An 11,876-nucleotide genomic window follows, 5' to 3' on the forward strand; every position below is an offset into this window, starting at 1 on the left:
TTACCCCTGACTGTCACTGACTTGGAGGCTAAGTAGAAACTCATCATTCCTTAGTGCTTTGTGTTGTTTTTTTTCTCTAAACCGAACCTGCTTACATTTTGTGACAGCCCAGCCCCTGTAGGCTTTGTGGTTCTTGTCTGTTTGAGACAGGGTCTCGCTTTGTCACCCAGGCTGGAGTGCAGTGGTGTGATTATACCTCACTGCAGCCTCAAACTCCTGGGCTCAAGCGACCCTCCTGCTTCAGCCTCCTGAGTAGCTGGGACTATAGGTTGAGCCACTGTGCCCAGCTCCCTGTCGGTTTTTTAGCATTCAGTCCCTGCTACTATCTGACTCTCCATTGATCACAAGGTGAGACTGCAGCAAGTTCAAACCTTACAGCCTCTTGGCTTAAGCCAGAAAGCAAGAGCATCTTCCTTGGAGTCCTGCCAAATCTCATTGCATACTACTGGTTCTTAGTAAGTCCAGACCAAACCTTCCTTTGTTGTTGTTGTTGTTTTTGAGACAGAGTTTTGCTCTTGTTGCCCAGGCTGGAGTGCAATGGCGTGATCTCGGCTCACTGCAACCTCCATCTCCTGGGTTCAAGTGATTCTCTCCTGCCTCAGCCTCCCGAGTAGCTGGTGTTACAGGCAAGCACCACAACGCCTGGCTAATTTTGTATTTTTAGTAGAGACGCGGTTTCACCATGTTGGTTGGGCTGGTCTTGAACTCGACCTCAGGTGATCCACCCGCCTCGGCCTCCCAAAGTGCTGGGATTACAGGTGTGAGCCACTGCACCCGGCCCAGACCAAAACTTCCAACAGCACATGAATGTTGTATTTTTGCACTTCCATTTGTTTGCAATCTCAGATTTTTGATGCATGTCTTTAGGGTTCTGGTGGCTTGGAGGAAAGATCATGTATCTACTGTGTTTGTGTTTAGATTTCAGGGAGAGTAAGGCTTCTAGGAGGACATTGCTCCTGAGCCATATTTGGAGGAAGGTAAAGGACAAGAGGAGCGGGATGAGTATTTCAGATTGAGGACGTGGGCCAAGGGAGAACCAACCGCCCATGGCGAGGGAGAACAAGCTGCTCTGGGGCTCCTTACAACTTTCCCAGCTGTCTTTCTCCCCCTTTCTGTAGAGGCTGATGCTATTTGTGATGCCCATCTTCTATAAGCTGTCAGCCAGAAACACCTGCTGAAATAAAGGCCATCTGTTCTGAATGCTGAATGCGCGGTTGTTGGGATCTCCCAAGAAACACACACACAAAAATGAACTTACTCCAAGGAAGCCAGACTTGACATGGACCCTCTGGGGCTTTGACGGCCCTTGGCCTCCAGTGGACGTCCAGAATCAGGGAAGACATTGCTGTGGCCTTCTCGGTACACTATGGGCTCCCATCAGGTAGAGGTCGCGCTGTGTGAGCTGGTGTGTCCCTTTTGACTCAGGGAACATGCTTGCTTGTCTGCACTGCAGTGAGTCCCCAGTGAAATGAAATGGCAGGTCTTCAGAGGCATGAAAATGCCAGCTGTTGTGTGTCATGGAAAGACGCACCAGCCTGGGCAAGTCAGAGGCAACCCAGAATAAATGGATCCACTGTGAAATGGGATTAATACTGGTTTCTACCCCATGTGGAGATCAGAGACTGGGCAGTTATTAATATTAAAGTGGAGCTTTGCTGTGCAGGTCAGCAGAAAGAGGGGTAGTGAGCTGGAGATGGATGGGAGATCAACCAAGGGCTTTCATTTTTGTTGTTTGAGAGATACTAGAGCATGCTTGTTTGCTGAAGGGAATGATTCAGTAGAAAGAAAGCGGATACAAGAGAGAAAGGGTTGATTTGTGGAAGCCTTTGAGAACGTTAGAGGCAATGGGGTTTAGAACCCAAGTGAAGATGGCTGGGTGCGGTGGCTCACGCCTGTAATCCCAGCACTTTGGGAGGCCGAGGCGGGCGAATCACAAGGTCAGGAGATCGAGACCATCCTGGATAACATGGTGAAACCCCGTCTGTACTAAAAATACAAAAAATTAGCCGGGCACGGTGGCAGGCGCCTGTAGTCCCAGCTACTCGGGAGGCTGAGGCAGGAGAATGGCATGAACCCAGGAGGTGGAGCTTGCAGTGAGCCGAGAAGGTGCCACTGCACTCCAGCCTGGGCGAGAGTGCGAGACTCCGTCTCAAAAAAAAACAAAACAAACAAACAAAGAAAACAGAAAGAACCCAAGTGAAGATGTGGGCCTCGGGTAAGAGCAGAGGCATTTGATCCTGTGCACCAGGAAATCGAATATGGATACTCCTGTAACCAGGATGTAGCTGTGGTGCTGGGCAGATGAGTTACTTAAAGCAAACAGTTTTCCTCCAAACACAGAATGGCACTTAATCAGAGGCATTAATATGAGTTTCATGGGGAAAGGGGACATGAACTTAGGATATGGTTGAGAGAAGCAGGTAAGGGGATGGGACATGAAGTTGGAACTCTGGGGTTTTACTGTAGCATGTGGGCTCTGAGTGTCTATGGAACAGGGCGTCTATGCCGGGACCGGGAAAAGAGATGGAAGCAGAATTGCCATTCTTTACAGTAAGTTTTGCCTAGGCTGTCTATGATAGTGCTGCAAGTTTTGAGTTAATGACTCTTCACCAAAATCTTTTACTTAAGTGTCCACAGATCTGCCTATTCCTGATCTAAGCTATAAATCCAAGAAACTAAATTCTGTTGAGCCAGTCAACGAGGATCAGTTTCAGCTCGGCGCAGTGGCTCACACCTGTAATCCCAGTACTTTGGGAGGCCGAGGCAGGCAGATCACTTGAGGCAAGGAGTTCAGGACCAGTCTGGACAACATGGTGAAACCCCATCTCTACTAAAAATACAAAAATTAGCCGGGCGTGGTGGTGTGGTCCTGTAATCCCCGCTACTTGGGAGGCTGAGACACAAGAATTACTTGAACCTGGGAGGCAGACGTTGCAGTGAGCCAAGATTGTGCCACTGCACTCCAGCCTGCGTGACACAGCAAGACTCTGTCTCAAAAAAAAAAAAAAAAAAAAAAGTTTCCACCACGGGGAAGAGTTAAGAAAATTGCTAGGGAAGCTGCCCAGCCCAATGGCCTCAGAAGAGGGACAAAATTCCCTGGAACCAGATTTAGACATGGGGTCAAGTGTTTACTTTGCAGCCAGACCTGGGCCCACTGTCTAAGTGGAGATGTCTGCCACGTCTTCCCTTCTGAAACAGTCACTCAGCATTTCTTTCAATAACAAATATCACTGAATGTGCAAAAGGGAAATGATTTAAAGGTGACATTTAGAAAGATGAGGAAATTTTAAACTGATTTTCAACTTCTTCAGAATGACGTTTCTCCTTTCACTTAAAGAATCACAACGTGGAGGCCAGGCGTGGTGGCTCACATCTGTAATCTCAGCACTTTGGGAGGCCGAGGTGGGTGGATCACCTGAGGTCAGAAGTTCAAGACCAGCCTGGCCAAAGTGGTGAAACCCCGTCTCTACAAAAAATACAAAAACTAGCCGGGCATGGTGGTGTGTGCCTGTAATCCCAGCTACTTGGGAGGCTGAGGCAGGAGAATCGCTTGAACCCGGGAGGTGGAGGTTGCAGTAAGCCGAAATCACACCACTGCACTCCAGCCTGGGCGACAGCCTGAGACTCTGTCTCAAAAAAAAAAAAAAAAACCAAAAACAAAAATCACAACTTGTCAGTTAATAGGGTTGCAAATTTAAAAAAAAGAAAAAAAGGGCCGGATGCAGTGGCTCATGCCTGTAATCCCAGCACTTTGGGAGGCCGAGGTGGGCAAATCACAAGGTTAGGAGATCGAGACCATCCTGGCTAACACGGTGAAACCCCGTCTCTACTAAAAAATACAAAAAATTACCCGGGTGTGGTGGCCGGCGCCTGTAGTCCCAGCTACTCGGGAGGCTGAGGCAGGAGAATGGCGTGAACCCGGGAGGCGGAGCTTGCAGTGAGCTGAGATCACCCCACTGCACTCCAGCCTGGGCAACAGACTGAGACTCTGTCTCACAAAAAAAAAAAAAAAAAAAAAAAGAATTACAACTTAAGTGCAGAAATTGAATATATTTTTGTTTTTAATCACTGACTCAATGCAGAAGTAGATGTCCTGATTTCAAGCATGACGCAGTTGGAATGACAGGTACAGCTCAAGTGGAAAATAGTGTAAAACAAATTCTGCAGCTTATTAAGAAACAGGAGGCTTGTCAGGTGCGGTGGCTCATGACAGTAATCCCAGCACTTCGGGAGGCCGAGGTGGGTGGATCACTTGAGGTCAGGAGTTCGAGACCAGCCTGGTCAACATGGTGAAATCCCATCTCTACTAAAAATACAAAAATTAACTGCCGTGGTGGTGGGCACCTGTACTCCCAGCTATTCAGGAGGCTGAGGCACTAGAATCACTTGAACCCCAGAGGCAGAGGTTGCAGTGAGCCGAGACTGTGCTACTGCTCTCCAGCCTGGGCGACAGAGCAAGACTCAGTCTAAAAAAAAAGAAGAAAGAAAGAAACAGGAGGCTTAAGTAAAATGCAGGATTTTGCTCTATATTATAGTTTGCTCCATTTTATAGGTAGAAAAAAATAAAATCTTAAAGAAGTTATTTGCTGACAGTGGAAAGTGGTCGGGTTTTTTTTTGTGTGTTGTTTTGTTTTTTCAGTCTCAGACTGAACTCTCTAGGACACTTGCCCTGTTAAGTGGGTTGGTGCCAGAGAGAAAACGCTCTGGACACTCCAACTAGTGGACTGCTAGAATTCACCGGACTGACTCCCTGCCACCTTTGGCCCAATCTAAGCACTGTTCTGGTTCAATTCAAGGTCGTCTGATTTGATTCCACTGAAACCCTCACAACCATTAAAGTCGAGCAGCAACTTAAGATTTAGAAAAGTGGTTTTCAATTTTTTAAAATAGAACTCATAGTAGATTTTATGCCACAACCCAGTCCTTAAACACACACACGCCCATTCTAAAGCAAGCCAAAAATGTTTCACAAACAGTATCTACTCTCAGAACACGTATTGCATTCCGATCAATATATTCTATTCAACTGTTTTGTTCATTAAAAAAGATGTTGCTAAAAATCTACTACATTGATTTTTTTTTTCTTTTTTTGAGACAGAGTCTTACTCTGACGCCCAGGCTGGAGTGTAATAGCGCGATCTCAGCTCACTGCAACCTCCGTCTCCTGGGTTCAAGCGATTCTCCTGCCTCAGCCTCCCGAGTAGCTGGGATTACAGGCACCTGCCACCACGCCAGGCTAAGTTTTGTATTTTTAGTAGAGAAGGGGTTTCACCATGTTGGCCAGGCTGGTCTCGAACCTCTGACCTCAGGTGATCCACCTGCCTTGGCCTCCCAAAGTACTAGGATTACAGGTGTGAGCCACTGTGCCCAGCCCTAAATTGAATTTGTATCCACTACTAGGTTACAAACCAGCCTGCCTGAAACACACAGGTTTAGAAAATGTATTTTTCTCTGTTTTGATCATTTATGTATTAGAATAACAGCCAAGATTTTATAAACCGGAAAACATTTGATATTAATATTCAAGGACATCTGATTAGAACAAAGGTGACAAAGTATTTATTTTAAAAATAATCACCACCACTTATTGCCTACTCTTATAGTATTAGGCTCTTTACAAACATTTTCTCCAATCTCTTAAACAACCTTGTAATTTACGGTACTCTTGTTCCCATCAAGGGATGAACCCCAACCTCACAGAGGATGGCCAGAAGTAACAACACCCAAAGGAGATGACCGAGCAAGCAAGCCGATGGACTTGCCACAGCGCATGGTTGCCGGCAGTAGATAAGACTTGGTGGATCCGAGCGAGACAATTCATTACTCTCAGCACAGCACACGACAGCAGCTCAGCATGACAGAGCTTGGTCTCCTGACCCCAAGTCCCGTGGCACAGGCCAGGCTCTGCACCTTTGATAGCAAGTGGTAACAATCCAGTCTCCTCCCTATGGGACAAACAGTGGCCTGGCAGTCGTGCTGTGGTTGCCTCTACGACTAGCTACACAAATGGCTACACCCTGGTCAGAGCGTGGTGGGCCCTGCAGGTTGGCATAGTCTGCAAAGACACGCAGGGTCCCGGGGCCCGTGGTGGACTGACTCTCTCAATAATTCTCCACTTTATAGTGGAAAGACATTATTTTCTTTTTTTGTTTGTTTTTGAGACTGAGGCTTGCTCTGTTGCCCAGCCTGGAGTGCAGTGGCGCGACCTCGACTCACTGCAACCTCCGTCTCTTGGATTCAAGCGATTCTCTTGCCTCAGCCTCCCAAGTAGCTGGGATTACAGGCATCTGCCACCACGCCCAGCTAGTTTTTGTATTTTTAGTAGATACGGGGTTTCACCATGTTGGCTAGGCTGGTCTCGAACTCCTGATCTCAGGTGATCTGCCCGCCTCGGCTTCCCAAAGTGCTGAGATTATACAGGTGTGACTCACCTTGCCCGGCCGAAAGACATCATTTTCTTACATCTACACAAATAATGTGGCAGGGTATGCATTCTCGTACATCCCCCTTACTCTGATGCAAATGCTTTTCTTTGATCCCCTGTCTAATCCGGCTCCTTTGACCCAGGACATACCTGAAGATACTGATGAGTATGGGCAAGTAATGACACAAGACTTTATCCCTGTACATGGATCATTTCACACAGACAAGCACAGACGTGGAAACAATTTCTAGAAGTGGAATTTCTGGACCAAAGGCCTTTGTGATTTTGATGGATATTGCTGAATTGTCCTTTGTCAAGGTTGCATTAGCTTACACTCAAAACAACTTGTGAGAGAGAACCGGTTTCCTCACACCTTTGATATGTCACCAAGCTATTCAGTCTTCGCCAGTGTCACAGGAGAAAAACAGAATCTCCCTGCAGTTTTAGTTTCTCTTGTGATGAGGGTGTGTCCTTTTGTTTAACATAAATTTACATTTCCTTTTCTGAAACTGTCACATCTAAGAGTTTTTTATGTATAAGTATACTAAAAGTACTTTTTCTTAGTTTTATTTATGCAATTTTTTCCACGCACAATTTTTTACATTTATGTCATCAAATGTAACATTTTCTTTATGGCTTCAGAGTCTTGTGTCATACTTTGGGAAGGTTGTCTCATCCTGAAACTATTTTTAAAATCTCCATTTCTTTTCTTTTCTTTCTTTTTTTTTTTTTTTTTTTTTTTGAGACAGGGTGTTGCTCTGTTGTCCAGGCTGGAACACACGGGCATGATCACAGATTCACTACAGCCTTGACCTTCCCAGCTCAGGCGATCCTCCCACCTCAGCCACCTGAGTAGCTGGGACTACAGGCACATGCAACCACACCAGGCTAATTTTTAAAATTTTTCGTAGAGATGGAGGTCTCACTATGTTTCCCAGGCTGGTCTTAAACTACTATGCTGAAGCAATCCTCCCATCCTGGCCTCTCGAAATGCTGGGATTACAAATCCATTTTATTTTAAAAGTTTTTTTCATCTCTCTGAATTTACTGCGATGTTAAGAGTGAGATAGGAGTACCTTTCCTTTTTCCCCCAGTGGCTCTTTGGTTCTCCAATACCATACATTGAAGAAACTGCATATTAAATTTTCTCATATATATATATTTAGGTCTATTTCTGGGCTCTATTTTCTTTCATTGATCTGAGCAGGTATCAGCACAGTATCACTTTAATTCTTGCTGCTGGAAATGTTTGACTAAATTTTATTTTTATTTTTTTTGAGATGGAGTCTTGCTCTGTCGCCAGGCTGGAGTGCAGTGGTGTGACCTCGGCTCACTGCAATCTCCACCTCCCCGGTTTAAGCAATTCCCCTACCTCAGTCTCCCAAGTAGTTAGGACTACAGGTGTGTACGACCACACTCAGCTAATTTTTGTATTTTAGTAGAGACGGGGTTTCATTATTGTTGGCCAGGCTGGTCTTGATTTCCAGACCCAGTGATCCGCCCGCCTCGGCCTCCCAGAGTGCTGGGATTACAGGCTGAGCCACTGCGCTGGGCCATGTTTGACTAATTGAAAGAACTAAACTCACATCATCACTGTTTTTGAAAAAAAATTTTTTTTTTTTGTCTATTCTGGTATGCTTAGTTTTCCTTAAGAACTTTGGAGTCAGCTTTTCTTTCTTTTAAAAATCCAGTTGCAGTTTCACTGGGATTACCTTACTTATTTATAGGATTGCCTTATTTATAGGATCAGTTAAACAAAACTAGTATCATTATCAATTGATTTTTTTTCAATTGCTTAGGCTAAAATCCAATTTGGAGTTAGCTTCGATGCCTCTAGCTCTCCCACATCCTTCGTTGGATTCACCAGCAAGCCCGTCAGCAGTTCCTTCACTATATATCCAGAAACTGACCGCTTCTCACCCACTCCCACCTCCCACCCTTGTCAAGGAATCGTCATTCTTCACCCACTTCCTCAACAGCTTCCTAACTGGCCTTCCTGCCTTCCCTCTTGCTTGCCTATTCTCAACACACAAGTCAGATCCCCTCACTCCTCCGCTCAATACATACCCTCTGAAGGCTTTCCGCCTCACTCAGTAAAAAGCAGACTTGGAGCAGAGGAAACAGCCAGAACAAAGGCCACAGGCAGGATCATGTTGGGGAAGACGAGGGGAGGGCCAGAGCTAGCAGGAGTCTATGGCCTTAGAGACTAGTTCACGCTAAAAGTAGCCGAAACTAGTTACCCCCGCGGGGTGGAGATTGTGAGAGAAGGGAAAAAGATCTTTTTTTTACAAAATTAAAAGCCCTGCAGAACTACTTGCCTTCTAAAACTATCTACATGTATGACTTTGATAAAAATAAAAAATAAGAAATTTTAAAACACTGACATATAAAAAGAAAAATATAGAAACCAACGGAAAAATGTAACAGATGGTATTTGTCAGCATGCAGCGGGAGTTCAGCTTTCCTTCAGCAGATGGACGGACATTCTTATAACCAAAACTGCATGATTCCTCAGTTATCATGAGAATTTCAAACAAAAAAAACTAACATCTATCAATTTAAAATTTGTGAGATGCCCGTGGGAGGTAAAGAATATTTTGTTAGTGTAATTTATCAAGTGAAATGGCAAAGTGACAATGGTAGGTTTAGCGATCTTCAGAAAAACAGAAGGGGGAGGAAAAGGTTTGATAGTTTTTTTGTTTTTGTTTTTTGAGACGGAGTCTGTCTCTGTCACCCAGGCTGGAGTGCAGAGGCACAAACTCGGCTCACTGCAACCTCTGCCTCCTGGGTTCAAGCGATTCTCCTGCCTCAGCATCCTGAGTAGCTGGGACTGCAGGCCACCCAGCTAATTTTTTATTTTTAGTAGCGATGGGGTTTCACCATGTTGGCCAGGCTGGTCTCGAACTCCTGACCTCAGCTGATCCTCCCGCCTTGGCCTTCCAAAGTGCTGGGATTACAGGCATGAGCCACCACACCAGGCCAATAGTTTTGTGTTTTAAAAATAATCATACTGTTGCGTAGATATTTGAAAAAAGTGTGATTTTAGTAATACAAAGGATAGTGAAGAGAATATGAAAGCTAAAGTGTTGGCTTTCTGCGAAGAAGCCTCAGAGATGAAAATCTCCCGTAGGCTCCAGGGTCCAAATCTTCGTATGTTCCTTCACAGATGAGACTGACTGTAAGCAATGCAGAACACCTACTGCCCTCTGTAAAAACAAACATATGGCATGCAGCGTCTTCTTGCCGTAGGAGCAGGAGAATGAAGAGCCGGAGCAGTTAGGAGGAAAAGCTTCCTCCTTAGTCAATTCCACCGCCATGTTAAACACAAAGATTTTCCCCGATTGCTTTGTGTACTCTAAAAACTGCCCCAGTGTTAAACTTTTAAGGTTGATTTCTAATCACCCAATTATGAAGCAAAATATTTTAAATCTGCATCCCCCCCTCCACTCCCCAACAGTTTCCTTCTTTTCTAAGCTGGATTCTCTTTCACTAACAACAGAGCATAGACGTAGTTTGTTATTTAAAATATCAAGAATAGTTTCCCAACAGGCCAGACTTCGTGGCAGGCAGAGAAAAGGACCTATTATAGATCCAGAAGGCTGCAGCCAAACAGGCAAGATCACTTAAAACTTCCCAGGTGCCAGCAATAACAAACAGAAAACGGGCAGGGGTGGGGACGCTTCCTGCCTTACTGTATCACCACAATCAACCTATTACGACAATTTATTCTGGAAACTAGATTTATACAGGAAGCTCAGCAAGCAAAAATGGTATTCCTCTAGAAATGGGAAAGTTAAAATAATTTTCTTATTTTTGGTTCTCATTAGTGAGAAATTAAGGCTATTAAAATTACTTATTTATTCAGGCATTGCCTCTTAAAATGTTCTCAGCTCTTCATATAAGCAAAAATTATCATGCAAGAATTTTCATTATTACAAATTTACAAAGTCATTAAAGATCTCATTCTCAATCAAACACTTGCTCCTCTCCTCATATTGTGCAATGTAGCTTTACTTAATTGATCTTCAGGAATAATGCAAAAATCAATGATAAAAGTCCTTAGCCCTTTGAAAGGCACATTTTGTGCCTCTGAAAATTAACAATCTTCATATAAAAGTCGTTTCATCTTTCGCGTGCTCTGATCAGTGGCTTTCACACTTTTTTCATGACTCATTTTAATAAACTTTACATAGTGACTCAGTACCCATACATGCACACCCCAAACTAAAGTTTTCACAGGGAAAAAAAACCCTCTTACAACAGGTAGTGCATGCTGGTATTTTCTGTTCAATTCTATTGTCTCCCATTCCATTAAAAAATGTTAGTAAAGACCCCTAATTAATTTCCTCACTAAAGGAACACAAATTTGAAAATCACTCTGGGTTACATATTACTTATTTTTTTGTCACATTAACTGAAAATACTGAAATTTTGAATCTTAGATGTCCAATCCCTCTTGTTCTGTTTTCACTCTGGAATATTCAAAGGTAAAAACACGCAAACACAAATCTCTATTGTTACTACATAGCATGACTTTTATATTTATTATTTATTTTTGAGACAGGGTCTTGCTCTGTTGCCCAGGCTGGAGTGCAATGGTGTGATCTCTGCTCACCACAACCTCCATCTCCCGGGTTCAAGCGATTCTCATGCCTCAACCTCCTGAGTAGCTGGGATTACAGGTGCCTGTCACCACGCACAGCTAGTTTTTTTGTATTTTTAGTAGAGATGGGGTTTTGCTATGTTGGCCAGGCTGGTCTTGAACTCCTGGCCTCAAGTGATCTGCCTGCCTCGGCCTCCCAAAGTGCTGTGATTACAGGAGTGAGCCACCACACCCTGCCAAATTTATGGTTAAAGCAATCACAGCCAGCCCTCTGGAAACACTGGCCGAATCCTCAATACTGCTCTCTTCTGGGAATCTGGAGTCCTGGTTACTCGGGAGCCTAGGTCCTGGGGAGGCTGCAGTGAGTTATGATCGTGCCACTGCACTCCAGCCTGGGTGACAGAGCAAGACCCTATCTCTCTACAAAAAAAAAAAAAAAAAAAGAAAAGAAAAACCCTCCGAAAAAATTCCAAGATCCAGGGTTAGGCACATCTACAGTACCAAGCAGGGCTTGGTGAAAGCTTGAATCAAGCAACAAATAAAAAAAAGCTGTGGCCTGTGACAAAACGGTGTGGAATGATTCTAATGCTGCAATCAAAAAGAGAAAATCCAAAGTGCCGGCCAGTACCCGTTTCATTCCATAGGATATTTAAACATATCAGATTTGTCAAGGTTCACTGCAAGTGTATTTGTCATCTTTAAATTCAATTTCAATTTTTTCATTTCAAGAAGTTCTCTTTGGTTTTCAAATCTTCTGATAATTGTCTTGTTCCCCATTCAGTTTATTTATTTAAAACACACTTTGAGTCTGTAGAGTATCACTATACCCTTGTGGCTCCTGTTCCCCTA

The sequence above is a fragment of the Homo sapiens genome, chromosome 4 (genome assembly GCF_000001405.40).
Source record: "Homo sapiens chromosome 4, GRCh38.p14 Primary Assembly".
Taxonomy (NCBI): domain Eukaryota; kingdom Metazoa; phylum Chordata; class Mammalia; order Primates; family Hominidae; genus Homo; species Homo sapiens.